The sequence below is a fragment of the Homo sapiens genome, chromosome 16 (genome assembly GCF_000001405.40).
Source record: "Homo sapiens chromosome 16, GRCh38.p14 Primary Assembly".
Taxonomy (NCBI): domain Eukaryota; kingdom Metazoa; phylum Chordata; class Mammalia; order Primates; family Hominidae; genus Homo; species Homo sapiens.
In genome coordinates, this window is record NC_000016.10 from 67986319 (window position 1) to 68012989 (window position 26671).

Here is a 26671-nt window from a genome sequence, read left to right on the forward strand (position 1 = left end):
AAAATCCTCCTTCTAAGTGAAGTAATGAAAAAAAGAAAGCTGGCCGGATGCAGTGGCTCTAGCTTGTAATCCCAACACTTTGGGAGCCCGAGGCAGGTGGATCACAAGGTCAGGAGTTCGAGACCAGCCTGGCCAATATGGTGAAACTCCTTCTCTACTGAAAAAAGAAAAATCAGCTGGGCATGGTGGTGCATGCCTGTAGTCCCAGCTGTTCAGGACGCTGAGGCTGGAGAATCGCTTGAAATCGGGAGGCTGAGGTTGCAGTGAGCCGAGATCACGCCACTGCATTCCCGCCTGGGCGACGGAGCAAGACTCCATCTCAAAAAACAAAAAGCCAGGCCCGGTGGCTCACACCTATAATCCCCCAGCACTTTGGGAGGCCGAGGCTGGTGAATCACCTGAGGTCAGGAGTTCGAGAGCAGCCTTACCAACAAGGTGAAACCCCATCTCTACTAAAAATACAAAAATTAGCTGGGCATGGTGGCGGGCGCCTCTAGTCCCAGCTGCTCGGGAGGCTGAGACAGGAGAATTGCTTGAACCCGGGAGGCAGAGCTTGCAGTGAGCCGAGATTGTGCCACTGCACTCCAGCCTGGGTGACAGACCAAGACTCTGTCTCGAAGAAAAAAAAAATCCAGAAAGCTAAAATAAAAATAAATTAGCTGAGTGTGGTGGTGCACGCCTATAGTCCCAGCTACTTGAGAGGCTGAAGCAGAAGCTTCATTTGAGCCCAAGAGTTCAAAGCTGCAGTGAGCTATGATTGCGCCACTGTACTCCAGCCTGGGTGACAAAGTGAGACTCTGCCTCAAAAGTAAATAAATAAATAAATAAATAAATAAATAAATAAATAAAAAGAGATGAGCTACTCAGAGGGAACACGGAATAGGGTCCACCTCCTGCCACCGGATCCACCACTGTTTTCATCCAGTGCTGAGCCCAATCACCTGGGTCACCTCGGGCTCCTGTCAACAGTCTTTCCTTAAACAACTGGTGGCTGAAATGAAGGATCCCCCACCAACCACCAGCACTGGGAGACGATGCCACCAGTCCCCATTGCAGAGAAGGAAACTCAGGTCTGTTTCTATGTCCAAAACATTTATTTCAGGAAATATTTGTGCCTGCACAACAGGGGAACTTTGTGGGGTGTCTGTGGCTTGCTACAGTGACATCTGGCAGGACTAACTGGGTCATCAGAGCCACAGAATAAGGACTGGGAAGGTGGCCACAACTGCAAGGACTGGGGCCATGTGGGGGGAGGACTCTGAGACTGACCACTTGGCTGGTAACTTGGCTGTCCAGTGTATGGGAATCTCAGTGAGTTCCTGGCCTGAAGTCAGACTCTGTCTCTGACGCAGACGTGAGAGGTCGGAGTGGCAGGAACTGCTCAGCTGCTCATCCGGGAACTTGTCCTCCAAGGGGCTTTGCCATTTGTTTTCTTCCTGTACCTAGAGGTGGCAGTCGGTGCTCAGCTTCCACAGCTCTCCTTGATACACTTGCTCAGACCCCTCGGCTACTCTCTTGCCCAGCCCAGAGTACCTTTTCCACTTGTCTGAAGACCCGCAGCAGGTTTCCACGAAGGACACCCTGAAGCTCTTCCTCACTCCAGCCACGACTCAGCAACTCCTCTATCAGGACCGGGTATGTGGACACGTCTTCCAGCCCCTGAGGGAATCTGTGTGGCCACCAGCTAGTGGGTTTCAGACCTGATTCCCTGATCATGACTCAGAACCACAGTCCAGGGTCTATGAAACCCCAGCCCTGGTCAGGTATGGGAAGTGGAGACTTGGAGAGAGTAGGTAATTCTCCTCTGCTCTTTATCCTTCAGAAGGAGGCCTCAAAACCTCCTTGAATATTTATCAAAACTTATTGAATCATACTATTAAGATCTATGCCTTTTACTGAATGCAAATGATCCCCCCTACCAACCAGAGTTAAAAAGAAGAAAATGGCCAGGTATGGTGGCTCACACCTGTAATCCCAGCACTTTGGGAGGCCAAGGTGGGCGGATCACTTGAGGTCAGGAGTTTGAGACCAGCCTGGCCAACATGGTGAAACCCAATCTCTACTAAAAAGACAAAAAAGAAAGAAAGAAAGAAAGGAAAGAAAGGAAAGAAAGAAAGAAAGAAAGGAAAAATAAATTAGCTGGGCATCATGGCGCACACCTGTAATCCCAGCTACTTGGGAAGCTGAGGCAGGAGAATCGCTGGAACTCAGGAAGCAGAGGTTGCAGTGAGCCGAGATTGTGCCACTGCACTCCAGGCTGGGCAACAGAGTGAGCCTCTGTCTCAAAAAAAAAAAAAAGAAAAGAAAAAAAGAAGAAAAGGCCCAGTGAGGTGGCTTAGGCCTGTAATCCCACACTTTAGGAGGCCAAGGCAGGAGAATCACTTGAGTCCAGGAGTTCAAGACCAGCCTGGGCAACACGAGACCCCATCTCTGCCAAAAATAAAATTATCTGGGCATGATGACACATGCCTGTAGCCCCAGCTACTTGCAGGCTGAGATGGCAGGATTGCTTGAGCCCAGAAAGTCAAGGCTGCAGTGAGCCAAGATTGCGCCACTGCACCCCAGTCTGGCCAACAGAGCAAGACCCTGAGAAGAAGAAGAAGAAGAAAAGGAAGAAAGAAGGAGGAGGAGGAGACAAAGAAGAAGGAGGACGAGGAAGAAAAGGAGAAGGAGAAGGAGAGGAAGAGCTTCTTCAGAAAACAGTGGTTGCAAACACAGCCACTGTGCACAGGGCTCACACCAGACCTTGCTGATGGTCTGCTCAGGGAGAGTGAGTCTCCTGGGCTTGGGGGTACGTGCAGTGCTGGGCAGATGAGCTCTGTCTGGTGGTTTGGCCAAGTATAATGTCCTAGAGTGGGGTCACTGGGATGAAGACAAACAGGAGAGCCCAGAGAACTGATCCCGGGAGTGTGGTCAAGGCCTAAAGGACGTGATGGCTATGGTGACCGTGAAGGCCCCACTGCTGTACAGCTAGCCCAAGACAAGCCACAGGGAAGGCACTCACTTGCCGGCCCCATCATAATCTCCACCAATCCCGATGAACTTGGATCCAATGACAGCCTTGATGTGGTCGAAGTGATCTGGGGAGGGGGAAGGTGGACAGTCAGCTGCGTAGGGCTTCCAGGGCAGGGGTGCCACTGGGGCTGGATGGCACTGAGTCTCCTTCTTGCAGCCTGTGGGCCAGGCAGGCTAATTCCTTTATGGCCTGCCACATAGCTTGGCAACCTGAGAACCCTGAGGTTTGACCTGAATGGATTCAGCTGGTTCTGGCCTGGATTTCAGGTTTGGAGTGGATCCACAGAGCCACTTGTCTGGGCCATTTCCCACCTAGGATTAAACCTGCCTCTAGTCTCTTTGAGAACCTGGTAGGAACTCTTTTCTATGGTTGTGGGAGATGACGGAGGGACAAAGAGTACAACTGACAAAGACCCCAGAGACCTAAGGGGCCTTCCCCTTCTAGTCTCTTGGCCAGAGGCCGAGGAAGGGTGCTTTGGGGATCCCCTGCAGAGGCGCAGATAGTTAGCACTCAGGTTCTATGTGTGGCTTCCTCCCTTATACCCATCAGGACCGCAGCACTGACTCTGTGGCTGCAGCTCCATGTGACCAATGTGCTGTGTACTGTCCATCACTGCATTTTTTTCAGTGAAACCACTGGGACAGTCCTGGGGCCCTCCCAAGTCTTCAGGTGCAAATCAGAACTGTTCAGAGAGCCCGGGAGAGGGAGTTACCTGCCACAGTGGACACATTGGCTGATGGGTTGCACTGTATTACTCCCATGGACAAAGACACCATCACGACGCCACCGTTCTTCTTCTGCAGGGGCGGGCAAGTGGACACTTAGCCTGGCCCCTCAGCAAACTGCATTCCTGCCCTGCCACCCTCTGGATCCCTGGAGAGGGTGTTCAGCTCTGACTTCAGGAGTCAGCAGAAACTTCACCTCTCTGGTTTTGTATGAAGGGAGGAGTCTAGGCCCTGGTCTGGCATAGGTGTCTTGGCACTTGCTTTGAGGAGTAGAGGAATATACATATTTACCATCTAGAACCCCCGACTCCTGGATGTGGACTGTGGGGTTGTGGGGCAAAAGATGTTCAGCCTGAAGTTGGAAGAAGTGGAGGGAGCAGGGCCTCAGGTTTGAGGGCTCCTGTTTTTTGTTTTTGTTTTCCATGGCAGGGTCCTACTCTGTCACCCAGGCTGGAGTGCTGTGGCGTGATCTTGGCTCACTGCAACCTCCGCCTCCCAGGTTCCAGAGATTCTCCTGCCTCAGCCTCCCAAGTAGCTGGGATTACAGGAATATGCCATCACACCCGGCTAATTTTTGTATTTTTAGTAGAGACGGGGTTTCCCCATGTTGGCCAGGCTGGTCTTGAACTCCTGACCTCAAGTGATCAGCCCACCTCAGCCTCCCAAAGTGCTGGGATTACAGGTGTGAGCCACCATGCCTGGCCGAAGGGCTCCTGGTTTGAACCTCTTGCTTTAGGTTCCTGGGCTGGGCAGTTTCTCACCAGAAGCTGCAGGATGTCATCAGGAACATTCCGAGCACTGTTGCACACACCCCGGGCAGCCGAGTGGGAGAAGATCACAGGTGCCTGTGACACTTCCAGGGCCCGCCGTGCCACAGCATCTGAGACATGGGATAAGTCTACCATCATGCCCAGGCGGTTCATTTCTGCCACCACCTTCTGCAGGGACATGTTGGGAGAAGGGTATCAGGGGTGCACATGTGTATACATTTATTTGTAAGAAACAGCTGGGGTGTGCACATTTGTTTGGGGTGGAGTGTGAACCAGGGTCCTCACCTCACCAAAGTCAGTCAGCCCGCTGATGTTGTTGTAGAAGGAGTGGACGCCCTTAGCGGAGCTCTCTGCCCTGCAGGGTGGCCAGGAAGCAGTCTGACTGGTAGCTGTTCCTCGGCCTCAAGAGTCTAGAGGCCCTACCCACCCTCCATCCCTGCACCCCCCTGAAACAAAAACAGGGATCCAAAATGGGCCCTGCAAATGGGCCATGCCTGGCAGCAGGAGGGCCCTGCTGGGTCCAGTCTTTTTTTTCCTTTTCTTTTTTTTTTTTTTTTGGCAATAGAGTCTCGCTCTGTCACCCAGGCAGGAGTGCAGTGGTGCTGTCGTGCCATCTCAGCTCACTGAAACCTGCACCTCCTGGGTTCAAGAGATTCTCATGCCTCAGCCTCCTGAGTATCTGGGATTATAGGCACGCACCACCACACCTGGCTAATTTTTGTGTTTTTCTTCAAGATAGGGTTTCACCATCTTGGCCAGGCTGGTCTCGAACTCCTGGCCTTAAGTTATCTGTCCGCCTCAGCCTCCCAAAGTTTTGGGATTACAGGCATGAGCCACCGCGTCTGGCCAGGGGTCAAGTCGTATTCTGAAAACCAGAATCCCAGCTCCCCTCCCCACTCCAGAGTCAGTGCCACATCCCATGGGTAAAGCTTGTTCTGGGCCCACAGTGACCTCAGGCAGATCTCTGCCCCTGCCTCAGCGGTCCCACACCATCTGCACTAGGCTCACCAGGGTGTGTTGCAGGTGTGGGTGAGCGTCAGGTAGCGCACTCCCAGCATGTAGAAGGTACGTAAGATGGAGAGGCTATTGTCCAGCGAGTGGCCACCCTCTACACCGATGAGGCAGGCCAATTTCTGAGTGTCGTTCAGAGCTGGGGGCAGGTAGGTCAGGTGATTACTTTCCAGGGCTGGAGTAGCTCAATCAAGTTCCTAACGCTTCCCATCAACTTGCCTACCTTTAGCCGAGGTCACAAGCTCCAGCTCAGAATAGGAGGCACACATGCGGCGTATGAGGTCAATCTGCTCCAGGGTGAGGCGCAGGGCATCCCGGTCCTGGGTCTGGCATGGCACATAGGCTGACCAGAACTGGGGGGAAGGCCAGGGTTTGGCTTGGATGGGGGCTGCTTTGGAGGACCCTGGACTGCTCACAGCCTCCACAGCTGACAGAGCACCCAGTGGGCCAGGAGGCCACATGTAATGTACTGCTTCTTCCACAGGGTCTTCCTGGCCACCAAGCTGGCTCACTGTAGCCTCTGCAGCCCCCAGCATCCATATCATGACACTTTTTGGGTCACTATGGTAACTGAGTTCTCATGTGACTAACTTGTGATCTCTGGGGTCCCCACTCTCCCCATCATCCCCCAGCAGCCATGCTGTGGCACCTCGTGTATCCCTGTGGTACCTGGGCGCCCACGAGGCCATCTCTAAGCCTGTCCAGGCTGGTCTGGCCGTAGCTGAAATTGCGCAGGTTAACATCCTGTAGCCCTTTCTGGTAAACCTGCCTTAGGACCAGGGGCAGGTCGTTGTGGCTGGAGGGATGTCAAGCCAGGGTCAGGTGAAGAACAGACAGATGGGCCTCTTAGCCCTCCAGTTCAGGAAGGACACATCTGGGGATCCCCATCCCTCATTGTCACATGACTATACTGAGATCCCCTGAGGCCCGGGCTAGGAGTGCCCACCCAAGAGGGGATGACAGAGGGGAAAGGGTACCCATGCATGACGGGAGAGAGGGCATCCAGGGGTGGTGTGAGGGAGCCTCCTCCACAGCCCTGCATACTCTGGGACCCTCCCTTGCCCAGGAGTGTGCTCAGCTCCCATCGCCCCCTTGCAGCAATTACGCACCCGTCCACGAGCGGGAAGTCCCGCATCAGGGCCCGTGCCTGCTCTTGCAGGCCCTGGGTGCTGGGACTACTGAGTGTGGTCGAGGGAGCGTAGGTGCCCGGCATGGTGTGGGCTCTGGGGGCGCCCAGCGTGGTGAGGGCTCTGGGGGGGCCTGGCGTGGTGTAGGCACAGGTTACAGGCTGGAGCAGCAGCAGCAGGAGCAGCAGACTCAGCAGAGGCCACCGACCAAACGTGCCGGGACCCTCGAGGCCGGAGGGCTGCATGTTGTGCAGGGCCGGGCAGGCAGGCAGGGGTGGCAGTCAGAGAGCCTGAGAGGGGCGGGCGAGGGGCAGAGCGCGACGATGGAGTCCCGACCCTCGATTCAGGCCACCTGGCGGCGTGGCCTCAAGAGGAGGGTAACGAAGTCACAGGGCCCCGCGAAGGATGTGCGGAGAGCGGCGGCACCGCCCAGTACGGCCACCAGGGGGCGCCCAGCCCTCCCGCCGTCATCCCCAAGGGCGCTCCCGCCGGCTGGGCGGATCCCTGTCCTGGGCGCCCACTCGCGGCCTGTCTTAGGGCCCTCCACCCTCCCTTTTACTCCTCCCACTGTCCCCAGGGGGCCGACCCAGGTGGCTCCTCTGCTGCCCCTAGGCTCTCTCTCTAAGAGAGAGGGCCTGGGGTGCTTCCCCCAAACAGTGGCCCTCTGCCCTGCCCTGGGAGATCTGCAGACCACGTCATGTCCCCAACCGCCTGCAACGTGTCCCGGCCACACCCAGGGCCACATGTGTCCCTGTGACCACAGTGCTCTGGGCTCTGGATTTCCTGGTGCTGGGTTGTGTGGGTGGGTGTGGGGGAGAAGATAGGCTCTGGAAATGAGGGGTTAACCCTGTGGACTGGATTCAGGAAGGGGCCCCCTGGCCCTGACCTTCTCTCTCCCGTAACTTAGGCCCTCAAGCCTATACTCTGGGGAATCTCCCAGCTACTAGGACCTGTCAGGAGCACTCCTCCGCCCCCCGCCCCGACCGCACATTCTCCAATCAGCCTTAGGAAAGAGCTCCTTCCTAAGGAGCTGCCACACCTCCCCAGGACCCCAGTGGAGGGATGAGAGCGCAGCAAGCATCTGGCCACTGCCAGGGAACATTCACTCAACAGAGCAGGAACCCACACAGCCATCTGCATGGAAGGAAATGAAGTCTTGTCTAGGGCAGCAGAGTCCCCGGCCGCAGCACCTTCCTCCTAGAGCTTCTGGCTGATCTGCTGGCCAGGATACCTCCTACCTCCTTGAGGAAGCCCCGGCCTCGTCCAGGTCAGGAGTAAGGGGCCTGAGGAAAGCCCTGCCACCTGGGTTCTGCAGCCACACTCCTCTTATCTTGTGGCTCCTGTGGCTTGAGCTCTCACAGAAACCTCCAGGGCTGAGTCCCTTCCTTGACGACAGGCCCCACCCCATTCCCGGCCTGGGGCCCTCAACCTAGATGCCTCCTCCAGGAAGGACCCCCAACCACACAAGCACACAAGCTCACAATCACACAGGCACAGGGGATGTGCCCGCTCACAGAAGCCCCACGACCTGAGATCTTCCGGGACTGTGGCCAAACCCCTTCGTCCTCAGAGACCTTTGCCTCCTCCTGCCCCTCAGGCTCTCAAGACTCTGCTCTGAACCTTGGCACCCCTGGAACCGCTTCATTTTTTGGAGCCTCCCCCACGTGGCAGGGCTGATCAGTGCATGGGTAGTGTGACCTAAGCCTGACGACGACTAGAGATTCAAGAAGGCCTCCTAAAAAGAAAATGAACCAACTCTTCCAAAGGGACTGGAGGTCCCAAGCTACCCAGGAGGGGAAGTGATCCCAGCTTTGATGTATTTTAGGGACTGCACACTTGATGTTGCCCAGTGTCTGCTGTCCAGGAGGAAGGCAGATCGATGGCCGAGTGCTCGAGGTGGGTTAACTGTCACGTCTACTGCTGCCGAAGGGGGTCTTTTTTTGTTTGTTTTGAGACAGAGTCTCACTTTGTTGCCCAGGCTAGAGGGTAGTGGCACAATCTTGGCTCACTGCAATCTCCACCTCCTGGGTTCAAGCGATTCTTGTGCCTTAACTTCCCGAGTAGCTGGGACTACAGGCATGCGCCACCACGCCCGGCTAAATTTTGTTGTTTAGTAGAGATGGGGTTTTGCCATGTTGCCCAGGCTGGTCTCGAACTCCTGGTCTCAAGCAATCTGCCTGCCTCAGCCTCCCAAAATGCTGGGATTACTGGAGTGAGCTACCGCACCTGGGCTTTTTTTTTATTTTTTATTTATTTTTTTAATTAAAGACTGTCTTGCCTTCTTGCCCAGGCTGGTCTCAAACTTCTGGCTTCAAGTGATGATCTCACCTTGGCCTCCCAAAGTGCTGGGAGTATAGATGTGAGCCACTGTGCCCAGCCCTGCTGGAGGGTTCTATAGGGAGGCCCACTGCAGATGGTGAGTCCTCTTGGGCTCTGCTTCAGAGAACAGTAGGGCGTGTCCCAGATCTGGGTGGTTTGGGTACCCCAACACAGGCTTCCCTCCTTCTCTCCATCATCCACTGCTGGTCAGCAGCTCCCCACACCCACTGGAATAGTGAGAGGGAGGAGAAGCTCTTGGATTTGCTGGTCTCCAGGTCAAAGATGTGGTTTTGGGGATAAACAGTTTATTCTGAGAGCCCCAAGAGGTAAGGGGCATAAAGAATGAGGAACTGAACCTGATCATTATGTGTTATATGTATTGAAACATCACTATGGGTGGGGCGCAGTGACTCACACCCGTGATCCCAGCACTTTGGGAGGCCGAGGTGGGTGGATCATCTGAGGTCAGGAGTTCGAGACCAGCTTGGCCAACATGGGGAAACCCCATCTCTATTAAAAATACAAACATTAGCCGGGCTTGGTGGTGCGCGCCTGTAGTCCCAAATACCTGGGAGGCTGAGTTGGGAGAATCGTTTCAACCCAGGAGGCAGAGGTTGCAGTGAGCCGAGATTGGGCCACTGAACTTCAGCCTGGATGACAGAGCGAGACCCTGTCTCCCCCCGCCAAACAACAACAACAACAACAACAACAACAACAAAAATCACTATGTACCCCATGAATATGTGCAAATTATTATTATTATTGTTTTTGAGATAAGGTCTTGCTCTGTCACCCAGGCTGGACTGCAGTGGTGCAGTCTCAGCTCACTGCAGCCTTAACCTCTCAGGTTCAATCAATCCTCCCACTTCAGCCTCCCGAGTCTGGGACTACAGGTACTCGCCACCACACTCGGCTATTTTTTTTTTTTTTTTTAGAGACAGGGTCTCACTATATTGCCCAGGCTGGTCAATTATTATTTGTCAGTTTGAAAAATGTAAAAATAAGGAAGGGGTAGGTAGGAATAAATAAATAACAGCTGACAGAGTAGGTGAGGAGAATTCAACTTTTTGAATTTTTTTTCTTTTTTTTTTGAGACAAAGTTTTGCTCCTGTTGCCCAGGCTGGAGGGCAATGATGTGATCTTGGCGGGCAATGATGTGATCTTGGCTCACTGCAACCTCCACCTCCTGGGTTCAAGTGATTCTCCTGCCTCAGCCTCCCAAGTCACTGGAATTACAGGCATGTGCCACCACACCTGGCTAATTTTGTATTTTTTAGTAGAGATGGGGTTTCTCCATTTTGTTCAGGCTGGTCTTGAACTCCTGACCTCAGGTAATCCACCCACCACGGCCTCCCAAAGCGCTGGGATTATAGGTGTGAGCGACCGCACTCGGCCAACTTTTTGCATTTTTTTTTAAGCTTCTCTCCAGAGCCCGAATGTCTGACCTCCTGGGACTTGGGGTACCTGCTAGCTCAGCAGAGGCAGGCTGAGTTGAGCCAGTAAAAGTGAGCACTGTCTCTGTAGGAGATAAGCCAGACAACACAATTTTCCATGATATGCAACTTCAGTCCTCAAATGTGGCCTTGAGGGGACCATACAAAGCGAATCACAGACACACCCACACTTGTAGTTGCAGTGAGCATTATGATAACACCATAGCATTCCAGCCTGGGTGACAGGGCAAGACCCTGTCTGTAAAAAAATAGATAATGATATTATTATTATTATTATTATTATTATTATTATTATTATTATTATTTTCTGAGACAGAGTTTCATTCTTGTTGCCCAGGCTGGAGTGCAATGGTGCAATCTTGGCTCACTGCAATCTCTGCCTCCTGGGTTCAAGTGATTCTCCTGCCTCAGCCTCCCGAGTAGCTGAGATTACGGGCGCATGCCACCACTCCCGGCTAATTTTTGTATTTTTAGTAGAGATGGGGTTTTGCCATGTTGGCCAGGCTGGTCTCGAACTCCTGACCTCAGGTGATCCGCCTGCCTTGACCTCCCAAAGTGCTGGGATTACAGGCATGAGCCACCCCCGACCCTTGGCCAAATTTTTTATTTTTATATTTATTTGTTTATTTATTTTGAGATGGAATCTCGCTCTGTCGCCCAGGCTGGAGTGCAGTGGCACAATCTCGGCTCACTGCAAGCTCCGCCTCCCGGGTTCAGGCCATTCTCCTGCCGCAGCCTCCCGAGTAGCTGGGACTATAGGTGCCCGCCAACACGCCCGGCTAATTTTTTGTATTTTTAGTAGAGACGGGGTTTCACCGTGTTAGCCAGGATGGTCTTGATCTCCCGACCTCGTGATCCACTCACCTTGGCCTCCCAAAGTGCTAGGATTACAGGCATGAGCCACCGCGCCCAGCTCACATTTTTTAAAATGGAAGAAATAGGTATGGCTTTTCTGTAGGGAATGGGCTGGAGGCCAGGAGATCAGGAGGGGTAAGGAATGAAGGGGCCTGTAAGGGGGAGAAGCAGTGGGAACAGGAAGGAGACATTCCTGGGACATGTTTGGAAGTTGAACCCAGGATTTGGAGATGCTTTGAAGCAGGGTTGGTGGGAGACAGTAAGGAGGAATCAGCGGTGACACTTAAGGTCGGCTCTGGAGTCAGGCCCTGAGTTTCCCCGCCTCTGCCTTGTTTCCACTCTGCCCACTGCCAGCATCTAGCTAACTTAGACTGTAGCCTCTGACCCCAAATTATCCCTGTGCTCAGGTCTGTGCCACTGATATTGGCAGCTCCTAATGAGAGGTGACAGCGTGCTGCCAGTCCTCACAGCCCTCGCTCGCTCTCGGGGCCTCCTCTGCCTGGGCTCCCACTTTGGCGGCACTTGAAGAGCTCTTCAGCCCACCGCTGCACTGTAGGAGCCCCTTTCTGGGCTGGCCAAGGCCAGAGCCAGCTCCCTCAGCTTGCAGGGAGGTGTGGAGGGAGAGGCGCGAGTGGGAACCGGGGCTGCGAGCGGCGCTTGCGGGCCAGCTGGAGTTTCGGGTGGGCGTGGGCTTGGCGGGCCCGCACTCGGAGCGGCCCGCGGGCCCTGCTGGCCCCGGGCAATGAGGGGCTTGGCACCCGGGCCAGTGGCTGCGGAGGATGTACTGGGTCCCCCAGCAGTGCCAGCTCACAGGCGCTGCGCTCGACTTCTCACCGGGCCTTAGCTGCCTTCCCGGGGGGGCAGGGCTCGGGACCTGCAGCCCTCCATGCCTGAGCCTCCCACCCCCTCCATGGGCTCCTGTGCGGCCGGAGCCTCCCCGGTGAGCGCCGCCCCCTGCTCCACAGCGCCCAGTCCCATCGACCACCACAGGGCTGAGGAGTGCGGGCGCATGGCGCAGGACTGGCAGGCAGCTCCACCTGCATCCCTGGTGCGGGATCCACTGGGTGAAGCCAGTTGTGCTCCTGAGTCTGGTGGGGACGTGGACAATCTTTACGTCTAGCTCAGGATTGTAAATACACCAGTCGGCACTCAGTATCTAGCTCAAGGTTTGTAAACACACCAATCAGCACCCTGTGTCTAGCTCAGAGTTTGTGAATGCACCAACTGACACTCTGTATCTAGCTGCTCTGGTGGGGCCTTGGAGAACCTTTGTGTCGACACTCTGTATTTAGCTAATCTGGTGGCGACGTGGAGAACCTTTGTGTCTAGCTCAGGGATTGTAAACGCACCAATCAGCACCCTGTCAAAACAGACCACTCGGCTCTACCAATCAGCAGGATGTGGGTGGGGCCAGATAAGAGAATAAAAGCAGGCTGCCTGAGCCCGCAGTGGCTACCTGTTCTGGTCCCCTTCCACACTGTGGAAGCTTTGTTCTTTTGCTCTTTGCAGTAAATCTTGCTACTGTTCACTCTTTGGGTCCATGCTGCTTTTATGAGCTTTAACACTCACCGCGAAGGTCTGCAGCTTCACTCCTGAAGCCAGCGAGACCACAAGCCCACTGGGAGGAACAAACGACTCCAGACGCACTGCCTTAAAAGCTGTAACACTCACCACGAAGGTCTGCAGCTTCACTCCTGAGCCAACAAGACCACAAACCCACCAGAAGGAAGAAACTCCAAACATCCAAACATCAAAAGAAACAAACTCCAGACGCGCTACCTTAAGAGCTGTAACACTCACTGCGAGGGTCTGCAGCTTCATTCTAGAACTCAGTGAGACCAAGAACCCACCAATTCCGGACACACTAAGACAAGATTTCACTAGTGTGTGCTGTTTCCCCTGCAAGGGGGAGGGCACAGAGATGGCTTTGGGTGAGGTTAGGGGGAGGATAGGCCTCCTGGTTGGCTAACACTTGTTTACTTCTGGGGCATGAGTGTTCATGTGAGCCCACGATGCCTGGCCTGTTCCTCTTTTAACAAAGTCTGGTAGGACATGGTGGCTCATGCCTGTAATCCCAGTAATTTGAAGGTCGAGGTGAGAGGATCTCTTGAAGCCGGAGGTTTGAGACCAGTCTAGGCAACATAATGAGAACTCTAAGAAAAAGGAAAAAAAAAAGTGGTGCATGCCTGTGGTTCCAGGTACTTACGAGGCTGAGGTGGGAGGTTCGCCTGAGCCCAGGAGTTTAAGGTTGCAGTGAGAGACGATGGCACCACTGCTCCCTAGCCTGGGCGACAGAGTGAGACCCCATCTCTAACAAAACGAAAACAAGATCCAATGCATCCTCCTGCCTGAAGTTCTTCCGTGGCTTCTCATTGCAGAAATCTACCGAATTTCTTTCTTTGGCTTTCAACTCATGGAGAGTCTGCTCTCACCAGCCTCTCCAGTCTCAGCAAATAGCACAAACTTTCCTGTCCTCCAAAATCTGGCCACCTCAGTGATGCTACGTCCCCCCATAGAGCCTTGGCACAACCTCAGCCTCCAATTGGTAGGGCTGTTGAGGCAAGGCCAGGATAGGAAATCTTGCTACCAGGAAGGAGTAGGTGGGTGAACAGCTTTTCCCTCTACTTCCTCTTCTATGCAGTGTTTGCATAAATCAAGACCTGCAGAGGAGGCAGCAGTAGAAACAGTTTGCTCCAAGGACCAAACTTATTCTGGTGTGCAGCTCACTCGCCCCTACTCATCTCCAGTGTATTTCAAGAGTATGCAGGGAAGGAAAAAGTCAGGCTGAGTTATAGCTGCACAGGCTGCCTCCCATGCTCAGAGCGCAGAGGTGGGGTGCAGCTGGGGCTTACTCAGTATCCAGCAGTGCCCAGATGATGATCATCTGCATCCAAGCCCCTCTGGTCCTGGAGACTCATGCTTCCCTTTGATGTCGCCCTGGATCTGCTCCCATGATGTCTGATACAGACAATTCCCAAGAAACAATAGTCTTCCAAGCCAGAAAGCAGCCTGGCCACTGTAGACAAACATCCTCCAATCACCAAGCTGAAGCCACCCTTCCTGAAACGTCAAATAGCTAACATAACATTTTTCTTCCACAAAAGGAAGTCAATGTTTATGTTTCTAGGAGAAGTGCAATAACCCCAAATGCATCTTTATCTCCTGAATGCATCTAGAACCTTCTGCTCAAGCCTTACCAACCAACCCCTACCCCGCCAGCCTCTCTGTCCAACATTCCTGGGGTGCTTTTTTTTTTTTTTTTTGGAGTGCGAGGGCACGATCTCGGCTCACTGCAACCTCCACCTTCCAGGTTCAAGCGATTCTCCTGCCTCAGCCTCCCAAGTACGTGGGATTACAGGCATGCACCACCAGGCTGGCTAATTTTTGTATTTTTTTTAGTAGAGATGGGGTTTCACCATGTTGATGAGGCTGGATTGTCTCGAACTCCTGACCTCGGGTGATCCACCAGCCTTGGCCTCTGAAAGTGCTGGGATTACAGGCATGAGCCACTGCGCCCGGCCTTTTTTCTTTTCTTTTTTTTTTTTTTTTTGAGACAGGATCTTGCTCTGTTGCCCAGGCTGGAGTGCAGTGGTGCCACTTTGGCTCACTGCAACCTCCGCCTCCCAGGTTCAAGCAATTCTCCAACCTCAGCCTCCCTAGTAGCTGGGGCTACAGGCATGCACCACCATGTCCAGCAAATTTTTGTATTTTTAGTAGAGACGGGATTTCACTACATTGGCCTTGAACTCCCGGCCTCAGGTGATCCACCCGCCTTGGACTCCCAAAGTGCTGGGATTACAGGCCTGAGCCACTGTGCCTGGCCCTGGGTTGCTTTCTGATGGAGACGATTGATGACTTGGGTCCCATGTGTACCATTGAGTTCCTCTTGCAGCTGGGTTCTGCCTGATTTCAGACAGTACAGAGGATCTGGGACAGAAGGCTGCATGCTATCCCATGTCCTTGAGGTAGTGCCATCAGCCGAGGGTGGGGAGGAGGCAGGAGGGCCCTGGGGTGCAGGAGCTGGATCCAGCAAGGCCATTAAAAGTATCTCAGGGGACAAGAGATGGTGGCTCATGCCTGTAATCCTAGCACTTTGGGAGGCCAAGGCATGAGGATTGCTTGAGGCCAGGAGTTCAAGACCAGCCTGGGAAACATGGTGAGACCCCTTCTCTACAAAAAAATTTTTTAAAAAGTAGCTGGTCATGGTGGCACATGTCTGTAGTCTCAGCTACTCAGGAGGCTGAGGTGGGAGAATTGCTTGAGCCCAGAAGTTAGAGGCCACAGTGAGCTATGGTCGCTCCACTGCATTCCAGCCTCTGGGAAAGAGCAAGACCCTGTCTTAAAAATAAAATACCTTTTCCGAAACATTTTTTGTAAGATTAAAAAAAGAGAAAAGAAGGAAGGAAGGAAGGAATAAAGAAAAGAAAAGAAAAAAATTTTAAAAGGTTGGGTATGGTGGCTCACGCCTGTAATCCTAGCACTTTGGGAGACCAAGGCAGGTGAATTGCTTGAGCTCAGGAGTTCGAGAGCAGCCTGGGCAACATGATGAAGCCCCGTCTTTATAAAAAATACAAAAATTAGCCAGGTGTGGCAGTGCACACCTGTAATCCCAGCTGCTTGGGAGGCTGAAGCAGGAGAATCGCTTGAACCCGGGAGGCGGAGGTTGCAGTGAGCTGAGATCGTGCCACTGCACTCCAGCCTGGGCAACAAGAGCGAAACTCTGTCTCAAAAAAAAAAAATTTCCTTTTAGAGACAGGGTCTCACTGTGTTGTTCACTGAAACTTCAAACTCCTGGGCTCAGGCAATCCTCCTGCCTCAGCCTTCCGAGTTGCTGGTGGAATCTGTGAGAAACATGGTGACTCGGTCAATAACCATGCCCCAGGCAGTTGTGGGGGACAGCCTGTATTCCATGGCGGCAACAAAGTTTTCATCTACGGACAGGGCCTCATCATCACCTGCGGCCTTAGCCTGTTCTTCAAAAAGCTGCCACTGCTGCATAGGATCATTTAGATCAGTGTAGGCATTGCTTATCGCTTTCTTTATGACAAATAGCTTAAAGCGCTGGGTCAGACCTTTTGAGTAGTGCCATTTAGCCAAAGGGCTCATTATCTGGGGGTGATCACAGATGAATGTAGAATTGTTGCAAATCACTTCCAGGAACTCCCCCAACAAGCTTGTCAAGGAGCCTGGCTGTGGTCCTAGGTGGAGGGCACGCAATAGCATTTGCACGCAGATATTATCAAGAATTTTGCCAATTGCTTCAGTTTCAAATAGGTTATTTTCTGGCAGCTTCACCCCCAGGGCTTTCTCAAGCTCTTCTATCATGCTGATTCTCCGGAAGGGTAGGGTGAAGTCAATATTGCAGGCTTATCCCTCTGGGACATCTGGGTAGTAGGTGACCTTGTAACTACCTGTATTATGCTTCACCATCCCTGGAACCATCTTCCCCGTGATTTCCGTGAGATTGTGATAGTCTAGGCCATGTAGAACTCAGGGGTGCTGAACTCAGGATTTTACGTCAAATCAATTCCTTCATTCCAGAACTGGAATGCAATTTCATAAACCTGGTCAATGCCACCAACCACTAGCATCTTATGGTAGAGTTCTAGAGTAGTTCATGTGCAGCTTGTTGTGATAAGTGATGAAAGGCTTGGTCATAGCTCCCCTGGGATGACGTTCATTCATGGGAGTTTCAAGCTCTAGGAATCCCAGCTCATCCAAGAAACTTTTTTTTTTTTTTTGAGATGGAGTTTTCTTGTTGCTCAGGCTGGAGTATAGTGGTGCAATCTTGGCTTACTGCAACCTCCACCTCCTGGGTTCAAGTAATTCTGCTTCAGCCTCCTGAGTAGCTAGGATTATAGGCACCTGCCACCACGCCCATCTAATTTTTGTATTTTTAGTAGAGGTGGGGTTTTACCATGTCGTCCAGACTGGTCTCGAACTCCTGACCTCAGGCAATCTGCCTGCCTTGGCCTCCCAAAGTGCTGGGATTACAGGCGTGAGCCACTGCACCTGGCCTAAGAAACTTATTATACATGTGATGATCTTACAGCAGATGATAAATTTCTGCCTCATTCATTCAGGATCAAGTCCAAGTATCTCTGACCATACCTTATTTCCTTGTCTTTGAGGCCAAAGTGAAGATGAGGTAACATATACAAGCAAGGCCACAGCAGTGTGATCTCATAGGGAATGAAGCTCAGCTCATCCTTCTTGGTTTTTCCCAGGATTCCTCTGAATTCCAATTATGTTTCCCCAACGCAGTTTGTTATTAATATGAATAAATTATTCTTCCTGAAATTATAATTCCTGAAATTGGCCATGACTTGCAACTTGACCCCCTCTGCTCAAAGATCATAGAAGTTCATGGCTGGGCACTGTGTCTCACGCCTATAATCCCAGCACTTTGGGAGGCCAAGGCAGGCAGGCAGATCACCTGAGGTTGGGAGTTCGAGATCAGCCTGACCAACATGGAGAAACCTCACCTCTACTAAAAATACAAAATTAGCCGGGCGTGGTGGCGCACGCCTGTAATCCCAGCTACTAGGGAGGCTGAGGCAGGAGAATTGCTTAAACCTAGGGAGGAGGAGGTTGCAGTGAGCTGAGATTGTGCCATTGCATTCCAGCCTGGGCAACAATAGTGAAATTCCATCTCAAAAAAAAAAAAAAAAAGATCATAGAAGTTCAGCTTTCCTCCAAAAGCTTTTTTGGCATGGATCCTATCTGTCACGTTTAAGGTGATATCAGTCAGGAGATCCCCAGTTTGCAGGTGACAATATTCTGGGATGAAGTCAGTGAGGGAGATGTCTACATGGATCTCGTTGGGGTATGGGTCTTTCCCATTGACCTACCTGACTGCAAATCTTTTTTTTTTTTTTTTTTTTTGAGACAGAGTCTCGCTCTGTTGCCCAGGCTGGAGTGCAGTGGCTCAATCTCAGCTCACTGCAACCTCCACCTCCCAGATTCAAGCGATTCTCCTACCTCAGCCTCCCAAGTAGCTGGAATTACAGGCATGTGCCACCATGCCCAGCTAATTTTTGTATTTTTAGTAGAGATGGGGTTTCATCATGTTGGCCAGGCTGGCCTCGAACCCCTGACTTCAAGTGATCTGCCTGCCTCAGCCTCCCAAAGTGCTAGGATTACAGGAGTGAACCACCGGGCCTGGCCTTGGCTGTGGATCTTGTAGTACTGATTTGGGTCCAGGCTCTCCTCCTCAGGACCCACACCATTGTCAGTGGTATGGTTGGTGGCAGCAGCAGTGACCTGGGCTTAGCTGTTTCTCACTGAGCTCTTACTGCTTGGCTGCCTTCTCTGCCACTTTCTTCTCGGCTTTCAGGTATCTCTTCGGCTTGTTCTTGCTCAGTTTTGACTCACCACCATCCACTTTAACCTTGGCCCCTTGTACTGCAGTCATCTTCCCAGAGGGCCTGGACCCAAAATTGTGTTTTTTTTCTTTTTCTTTTTTTTTTGAGATGAAGTCTTGCTCTGTTGCTCAGGCTGGAGTGCAGTGGCGCAATCTCGGCTCGCTGCAACTTCTGCCTCCAGGGTTCAAGGGATTCTCATACCTCATCCTCCAGAGTAACCAGGAATACAGGCACCCACCACCACTCCCAGCTAAATATTCACATTTTTAGTAGCGATGGGGTTTTGTCATGTTGTCCAGGCTGGTCTCGAACTCCGGGCCTCAAGTGATCCTCCCACATCAGCCTCCCAAAGTACTGGAATATAGGCATGAGCCGCTGTGCCTGGCCCTGTTTTTTGTTTTTTTCACGTGGCCGTGTAGTTAAGGAACCAGCCTTATCGTGTGGGTAAGAAAATTGAGCAGCTGGTCAGATGAGGGGTTCCTTCAATCCCTCCACTTCCAGCTGCTGCCTCTAGGAAAGGCCTCAAATTCCTTACCTCAGCTTCCTGGGATTACAGGCGCACGCCACCATGCCTGGCTAATTTTTTTATTTTTAGTAGAGACAGGGGTTTCTCCATGTTGGCCAGGCTGGTCTCAAACTCATGACCTCAAGGGATCTGCCCACCTCAGTCTCCCAGAGTGCTAGGATTACAGGCGTGAGCCACTGTGCCCAGCCTCAAATTCCTTACATCTATCAGTTTGTCCGGGCATCATTTCCTGATCACCCACTGGTGCTGGCCATTTGCTGGGGTGTGCAGTGAGGTGGCTGGATAAGTCTCCAGCTATCACATGTGCTGGCATAAGCACATGGGGGTGGAGGGTGGGCTCTGTAGAGGCCCCCAAGATCCAGGAGCCAGTGCTGACCAAACATCTAGACAACATGTGTGATTTCACATTTAACCTCAAATTCAGACTTGCTGTCTCTTGCTTAACCTTGTCTGCTGATCTCCGAGGGCTATCAGACCTGTTTCTGCAAAAACACAGTGAAGTCACAGCACACCCTGCCCCGGAGCTCTCTAAGCTTCCTGTTTTTATGCAGAAAGCCTGCCCTCCTGTGAAGCTGACCATGTGAGATCTCACTGACTCCGCATCTGGGTGAATCTGAGAAGCTTAGTTAAAAACAACAACACAAAACTTTTTTTTTGAAACTGTATCTCCCTCTGTGGCCTAGGCTGGAGTGCAGTGGTGCCGTCATGGCTCACTGTAGCCTCAAATTCGGGGCTCAGGTGATCCTCTCACCTCAGCTTCCCGAGTAGCAGGGACTACAGGGTGGTGCCACCACACCCAGCTAATTTTTTTTTTTTTTTTGGTAGAGATGGGATTTCACCATGTTGCCAGGCTGGTCTCAAACCCCTGGTCTCAAGTGATCCTCCCACCTTAGCCTCCCACAGTGTTGGGATTACAGGCATGAGCCACTGTGCCCAGACCAAAAAACTTTTTATAGGAAAAATTGCAAATACATGAGAAAGGAGAGAGAAAAGTGTATTAACTCCCATGTAGCCATCACCCAGTTTCAAAGATTACCAACTGATGGCTCATCTTATTTCATTTATGCTCTCACTCACCTCTTTCTACAGATTATTTTAAAGCAAATCATAGACATCTATTTCATCCATTTTTAAGTATGCCTCTCTAAAAGGTAAGGGCTCTTTTTAGGCTGGGCACGTGGCTCTTGCCTGAAATCACAGCACTTTGGAAGCTTGAGGTGGGTGGATCACCTGAGGTCAGGAGTTGGAGACCAGCCTGGCTAACATAGCGAACCCCATCTCTGCTAAAAATACAAAAATTAGCTGGTTGTCGTGGAGGACACCTATAATCCCAGCTACTCAGGAGTCTGAGACAGGAGAACTGCTTGAACCCAGGAGGCAGAGATTGCAGTGAGCTGAGATCATGCCACTGTACTCCAGCCTGGGCAGCAGAGAAAGACTCAGTCTCTAAATAAATAAATAAATAAATGGTAATGGCTGTTTTTAAAAGACAACTATAAGCCAGGTGCACTGGGCCATTCCTGTAGTCCTACTAGCTATTTGGGAGGCTGAAACAGGAGGATTGCTTGAGCCCAGGAGTTTGAGGCCAGCCTGGGCAGCATACTAAAACCCTGTTTCTGAAAAATAAAATAAAATAAATAAATATATAAATAAATGGCAATTACCATACCATTATGACCCTTATAAAAGTTAACAGTACTTTTCTTTTAAAATTTGTAGAGACAGGGTCTTTTTTTTTTGAGACAGAGTCTCCCTCTGTTGCCCAGGCTGGAGCGCAGTGGGGTGATGTCGGCTCACTGCAAACTCCGCCTCCTGCGTTCACGCCATTCTCCTGCCTCGCCTTCCGAGTAGCTGGGACTACAGGCACCCGCCACCATGCCCAGCTAATTTTTTTGTATTTTCAGTAGAGACGGGGTTTCACCATGTTAGCCAGGATGGTCTCGATCTCCTAACCTCGTGATCCACCCGCCTCGGCCTCCCAAAGTGCTGGGATTACAGGCATGAGCCACCGCGCCTGGCCGAGACAGGGTCCTGTTTTATTCCCCAGGCTGGTGACGAACTCCTGGGCTCAAGCAGTCCTCCCTCTTTGGCCTCCCAAAGTGCTGTGATTACAGGCATGAGCCACCACACCCAGCCACTTTTTTTTTTTTTTTTGAGATGGAGTCTCGCTCTGTCGCCCAGGTTGGAGTGCAGTGGCGCCATCTCGGCTCACTGCAAGCTCCGCCTCTCGGGTTTATGCCATTCTCCTGCCTCAGCCTCCCGAGTAGCTGGGACTACAGGTGTCTGCCACCACGCCTGGCTAATTTTTTGTATTTTTAGTAGAGATGGGGTTTCACCATGTTAGCCAGGATGGTCTCAATCTCCTGACCTTGTGATCCACCCGCCTCGGCCTCCCCAAAGTGCTGGGATTACAGGTGTGAGCCACCACGCCCGGCCTTTTTTTTTTTTTTTTTTTGAGACGGAGTTTTGTTTTTGTTGCCCAGGCTGGAGTGCAATGGCGTGGTCTTGGCTCTCTGCAACTTCTACCTCCCAGGTTCAAGGGATTCTTCTGCCTCAGCCTCCCAAGTAGCTGGGATTACAGGCACGCATTAACACACCTGGCTAATTTTTTTGTATTTTTAGTAGTGACGGGGTTTCATTATGTTGGTCAAGCTGGTCTTGAATTCCTGACTTCATGTCATCCGCCCACCTCTGCCTCCCAAAGTGCTGGGATTACAGGCATGAGCCACCGTGCCCAGCCCAATTCTTTAGTATCATAAATTATCTATCATGTTCAAATTTATCTGATTGTCCAATTTTTAAATAATTCATTGGTTTGAACTGTAATGGAGCTCAGACCGCCCACATTGTAAATGGTTGTTATGACTCAATCTTCAGGTTCTTCTTTTTTTTGTCTTCCTTGCAATTTCTTTGTTGAAAAAATCACGTCCTTGTCCGTTAGAGTTTTCCATGTTGTAGAGTTTTCTGATTGCATCTCATGGTGTCATTTAACATGTTCCTGTGTCCTTGTGTTTTCTATAAACTGGTAGTTAAGGCAAGCTTTTATTTATTTAAAATTTTTTTTTCTAATTCTTTACTGTTAATATTTTTTGTAGAGATGGAGTGCTGCTGTGTTGCCCAGGCTGGTCTCGAACTCTTGGGCTCAAGCAATCCTCCCACCTCAGCCTCCCAAAGTGCTGGGATTACAGCCATGAGCCACCATGGCCAGCTGAGGGGAAGCTTTTAATACTGTGGATTTCTAGGCCAGTACCCTAAAACTTTAGACTGGTGTGGGTGCTGGGGATCACTTTTTTTTTTTTAAGACCGAGTCTCGCTCTGTCACCCAGGCTGGAGTGCAATGGCGCGATCTCAGCTCACTGCAAGCTCCGCCTCCCGGGTTCATGCCATTTTCCTGCCTCAGCTTCCCGCGTAGCTGGGACTACAGGCACCCACCACCACACCTGGCTAATTTTTTTTTTTTTTTTGTATTTTTTAGTAGAGACGGAGTTTCACCGTGTTAGCCAGGATGGTCTCGATCTCCTGACCTCGTGATCTCCCCGCCTTGGCCTCCCAAAGTGCTGGGATTACAGGTGTGAGCCACTGCGCCTGGCCGGGATCACTCTTTTTTAAGAGCCCCAGTTGAGTCTATTTGTTTCAGCTTTGGGAACTGCCAAACTATCCAGGCCATCCAGGAACCACAAATCTGCTTCAGTCACGCCACGGATGAGAGACTCTGGGGGTTAATGGAGACTCTCACAGGGAACTTTCTGGGAGCCCAGGGCCTGTGCCTCCTTCCTTTAACCCAAGTTAGGAAAACCTATCAGGACCTTTCCTGGCCTCCATGGTATGCGTGTTGGGGGGAGGAGCAACAGTCTTGCTGCTGGGACCCCTAAGGACAAGTGAGTTGCTGACAGTGCCGCCTTTTTCTGGGCTGCTGATACAGGCAGACTTGGGACAAACGTCATGGTGTTTCTTCTCTGCTGACTGCTCCTCCATCCCCCAGTCCCCAGCACCAGCTGTCCCAGCTGCAGAGAGAGACAGTCCCCCTGGTAACAGCCAGCACCTCACTACCATGGCACGCAGCAGTCAGACGGATCTTTTTAGCATCTATATCAGATTACTTCCCTACCTTATTCAGATTCCTCCATGACTTCCCAATATACTTAAAACAAGATCCACTGTCCTTACCGTGGCTGGCACGGCCCACTATGGTCTGGCCCATGCTTACTTGCTTACTTCCTTACTTCTCCAACCACCTTTTTCTTTTCTTTCTTTTTTTTTTTGAGACAAGTCTCACTCTTGTCCCTCAGGCTTGAGTGCAATGGCTCGATCTCGGCTCACTGCAGCCTTCGCCTCCCGGGTTCAAATGATTCTCCTGCCTCTGCCTCCCAAGTAGCTGGGATTAAGGCGCCTGCCACCACACCCAGCTAATTTTTGTATTTTTTAGTAGAGACAGGGTTTCACCATGTTGGCCAGGCTAGTCTCGAACTCCTGACCTCAGGTGATCCACTAGCCTCAGCCTCCCAAATTGCTGGAATTACAGGAGTGAGCCACTGCACCTGGCCTCCAACCATCTTATTTTTTTTTCCTTCCTTCCTTCCTTCCTTCCTTCCTTCCTTCCTTCCTTCCTTCCTTCCTTCCTTCCTTCCATCTTTCCTTCCTTCCTTCCTTCCTTTCTTTCTTTCTGACAGAGTCTCACTCGTTGCCTAGGCTGGAGTGCAGTGGCAGGATCATGGCTCGTTGCAGCCTATACCTCCTAGGCTCAAGCAATCCTCCTGCCTCAGCCTCCTGAGTAGCTAGGGACCACAGGCATTCACCACCACACCCAGCTGATTTTTTGATTTTTTGTAGAAAGGGCACCTCCCTATGTTGCCAGGCTGGTCTCAAACTCCTGGGCTCAAGTGACCCTCCCTCCTTGGCCTCCCAGCCACCACATCTTTCAATCTCCTCTATCTTTCTTCCCTGGCCACACTGGCCTTTCTGCTGGCCCTCAAATTGGTCAGTCTTGTAGGCCGGGTGTGTTGGCTCACACCTGTAATCCTAGCACCCTGGGAGGCCAACGCTGGCGGATTACCTGAGGTCTGCAGTTTAAGACCAGCCTGGCAAACATAGTGAAACCCCATCTCTACTAAAAACACAAAAATTAGCCGAGTGTAGTGGCATGTGCCTCTAGTCCCAGCTACTCAGGAGGCTGAGGCAGGAGAATCACTTGAACCTGAGAGGCAGAGGTTGCAACGAGCCAAGGTCGCACCATTGTACGCCATCCTGGGAGACAAAGTGAGACCCCACCTCAAAAAAAGAAAAAATGGATCAGTCTCATTCTTACCATTATACTTGAAATTTCCTCCAGTAATGCTCTCCCTTCTACTCCTCACGATTCCCTCACATCTCAGCCACAATGTCATCATCTCAGAGAAGCCTTCCCTAACCACCTGGTGTAACACAGCACACCTCATTACTGTATTCTCTTATCCAGTTTCATTTTTCTTTATACCAGTTATAGTTATCTAAAATTATATTGTTTGGGGAGGCTGAGGCAGGACAATGGCGTGAACCCAGGAGGCAGAGCTTGCAGTGAGCCTAGATCGCGCCACTCCAGACTGGGTGACAGAGCGAGACTCCGTCTCAAGAAAAACAACTACAACAACAACAACAAAAATTATATTGTTTGTCTCTATGAACAAATTATATTGTTTGTGGGTGCCTTGAGGGGAGGAGTTTCTCATTCACCAATATATCCCAAGCAACCAGCACAGTGGCTGGTATGTAAGAAGTGCTCAATAGGCCGGGTGCGGTGGCTTATGTCTGTAATCCCAGCACTTTGGTGGGTGGATCGCCTGAGGTTACGAGTTCGAGACCAGCCTGACCGATATGGTGAATCCCATCTCTACTAAAAATACAAAAATTAGCCGGGTGTGGGGGTGTGCCCCTGTAGTCCCGGCTACTCAGGAGGCTGAGGCAGGAGAATCGCTTGAACTCGGAAGGCGGAGGCTGCAGTGAGCCGAGATCGTGCCACTGCACTCTAGCCTGGGCAACAGGAGAGAAAACTCTGTGTCAAACAAAAAAAAAAAGTGCCCAATAAATACTTGTTGAATAAATGAATGAATGGATGAGTGGATAGATGGAGCAGCATCTTCTTAGTTATTTTGTCCCTCTCCTAACACTCTCTAAAACACACACACACACACGGAAACACTCACTGGGCTCTACATTTTTTTAGCTTTTCTTTTTTTCTTTCTTTTTTGAGACAGGGTCTCGTTGTGTCACCCAGTCACCCAGACTGCTGAAATGCAGTGGTATGATCATAGCTTACTGCAGCCTTCAACTCCTGGCTTTAAGCGATCCTCACGCCTCAGCCCCCCAGATGGCTAGGACTATAGGTGCACCCCACCATACCTAACTAATTATTTTTATTTTTGTAGAGACAGGATCTCACTACTTGCCCAAGCTCGTCTTGAACTCCTGGCTTCAAGCAATTCTCCCATCTTGGCCTCCCAAAGTATTGGGATTACAGATGTGAGCCACTGTGGCCGGCCAGGCTCTGCGTTTCTTTTTTAAATTTTTATTTATTTGGGAGGCTGAGGCAGATGGGTCACTTGAGCCCAGGAGTTCAAGACCAGCCTGGACAACACGGCAAGACCCCATCTTTTTTTTTTTTTTTTTTGAGATGGAGTGTCGCTCTGTCGCCTAGGCTGGAGTGCAGTGGCGTGATCTTGGCTTACTGCAAGCTCCGCCTCCCGGGTTCATGCCATTCTCCTGCCTCAGCCTCTCAAGTAGCTGAGACTACAGGTGCCTGCCACCACAACTGACTAATTTTTTGTATTTTTAGGAGAGACGGGGTTTCACTGTGTTAGTCAGGATGGTCTTGATCTCCTGACCTTGTGATCCGCCCGCCTCTGCCTCCCAAAGTGTTGGGATTACAGGTGTGAGCCACAGCGCCTGGCCTTTTTTTTTTTATTTTTTTTTAGACAGAGTTTCACTCTTGTTGCCCAGATTGGAGTGCAGTGGCATGATCTCGGCTCACTGCAACCTTTGCCTCCCAGGTTCAAGTGATTCTCCTGCCTGAGGTTCCTGAGTAGCTGGGATTACAAGTGCCCACCACCATGACCAGTTAAGTTTTTGTATTTTTTTTTTTGTTTTGATACGGATGTCGCCCAGGCTTTAGTGCAGTGGCACTATCTCGGCTCACCACAAGCTCTGCCTCCCGGGTTCATGCCATTCTCCTGCCTCAGCCTCCCGAGTAGCTGGGACTACAGGCACCCGCCACCACGCCTGGCTAATTTTTTGTATTTTTTAGTAGAGATGGGGTTTCACCATGTTAGGATGGTCGCAATCTCCTGACCTCGTGATCCGCCCACCTCGGCCTCCCAAAGTGCTGGGATTACAGGCGTGAGCCACCACGCCTGGCCAATTTTTTGTATTTTTAGTAAGATGGGGTTTCATTGTGCTGGCCAGGCTGGTCTCAAACTTCTGACCTTAGGTGATCCACTGCCTCAGCGTCCCAAAGTGCAGGGATTACAGGACT

At 51.4% G+C, this 26671-nt stretch overlaps 1 protein-coding gene and 1 pseudogene across 25 annotated transcripts, besides 6 other annotated features; both read right to left on the reverse strand.

Moving 5' to 3' along the window:
- Positions 1-1071: 1071 nt before the first annotated feature.
- Positions 1072-14301, reverse strand: DPEP2 (dipeptidase 2). 25 transcript variants are annotated; one of them, NR_136706.2, is made up of 12 exons: positions 14130-14301; positions 12949-13430; positions 6632-6939; positions 6192-6318; positions 5746-5875; positions 5520-5661; positions 4797-4866; positions 4503-4621; positions 3729-3813; positions 3005-3080; positions 1534-1739; positions 1076-1442 (listed from the first exon to the last, which is right to left on the reverse strand). NR_136706.2 is itself a non-coding variant. In XM_024450373.2 (11 exons), exons 2-11 carry the CDS (start codon positions 6892-6894, stop codon positions 1188-1190), a joined length of 1500 nt encoding a protein of 499 aa, XP_024306141.1. In that variant the 5' UTR covers positions 6895-6939; positions 14130-14301; the 3' UTR covers positions 1072-1187. The 25 variants fall into 25 exon arrangements, 22 of the variants coding, with proteins under 22 accessions (XP_024306141.1, XP_024306142.1, XP_011521568.1 ...); XM_024450373.2 differs by lacking the exon at positions 12949-13430 and having other exon boundaries at positions 1072-1442; positions 1534-1708; positions 4503-4679; XM_024450374.2 differs by lacking the exon at positions 14130-14301 and having other exon boundaries at positions 1072-1442; positions 1534-1708; positions 4503-4679; positions 13078-13166.
- Positions 3729-3778: an enhancer, noted in NCBI's record as "active region_10999". NCBI's record gives its function as "activates an Ori minimal core promoter by ATAC-STARR-seq in GM12878 lymphoblastoid cells {active_cell/tissue: GM12878}" and the evidence as "EXISTENCE:reporter gene assay evidence [ECO:0000049][PMID:35858748]".
- Positions 3819-3878: an enhancer, noted in NCBI's record as "active region_11000". NCBI's record gives its function as "activates an Ori minimal core promoter by ATAC-STARR-seq in GM12878 lymphoblastoid cells {active_cell/tissue: GM12878}" and the evidence as "EXISTENCE:reporter gene assay evidence [ECO:0000049][PMID:35858748]".
- Positions 6268-6337: an enhancer, noted in NCBI's record as "active region_11001". NCBI's record gives its function as "activates an Ori minimal core promoter by ATAC-STARR-seq in GM12878 lymphoblastoid cells {active_cell/tissue: GM12878}" and the evidence as "EXISTENCE:reporter gene assay evidence [ECO:0000049][PMID:35858748]".
- Positions 6998-7257: a silencer, noted in NCBI's record as "silent region_7637". NCBI's record gives its function as "represses an Ori minimal core promoter by ATAC-STARR-seq in GM12878 lymphoblastoid cells {active_cell/tissue: GM12878}" and the evidence as "EXISTENCE:reporter gene assay evidence [ECO:0000049][PMID:35858748]".
- Positions 11589-12105: an enhancer, noted in NCBI's record as "H3K27ac-H3K4me1 hESC enhancer chr16:68031810-68032326 (GRCh37/hg19 assembly coordinates)". NCBI's record gives its function as "activates a minimal SCP1, AML or CMV promoter by ChIP-STARR-seq in naive H9 embryonic stem cells {active_cell/tissue: H9 hESC(naive)}" and the evidence as "EXISTENCE:reporter gene assay evidence [ECO:0000049][PMID:30033119]".
- KARS1P3 (lysyl-tRNA synthetase 1 pseudogene 3) lies at positions 16098-18126 on the reverse strand (annotated as a pseudogene).
- Positions 20268-21041: an enhancer, noted in NCBI's record as "H3K27ac hESC enhancer chr16:68040489-68041262 (GRCh37/hg19 assembly coordinates)". NCBI's record gives its function as "activates a minimal SCP1, AML or CMV promoter by ChIP-STARR-seq in primed H9 embryonic stem cells {active_cell/tissue: H9 hESC(primed)}" and the evidence as "EXISTENCE:reporter gene assay evidence [ECO:0000049][PMID:30033119]".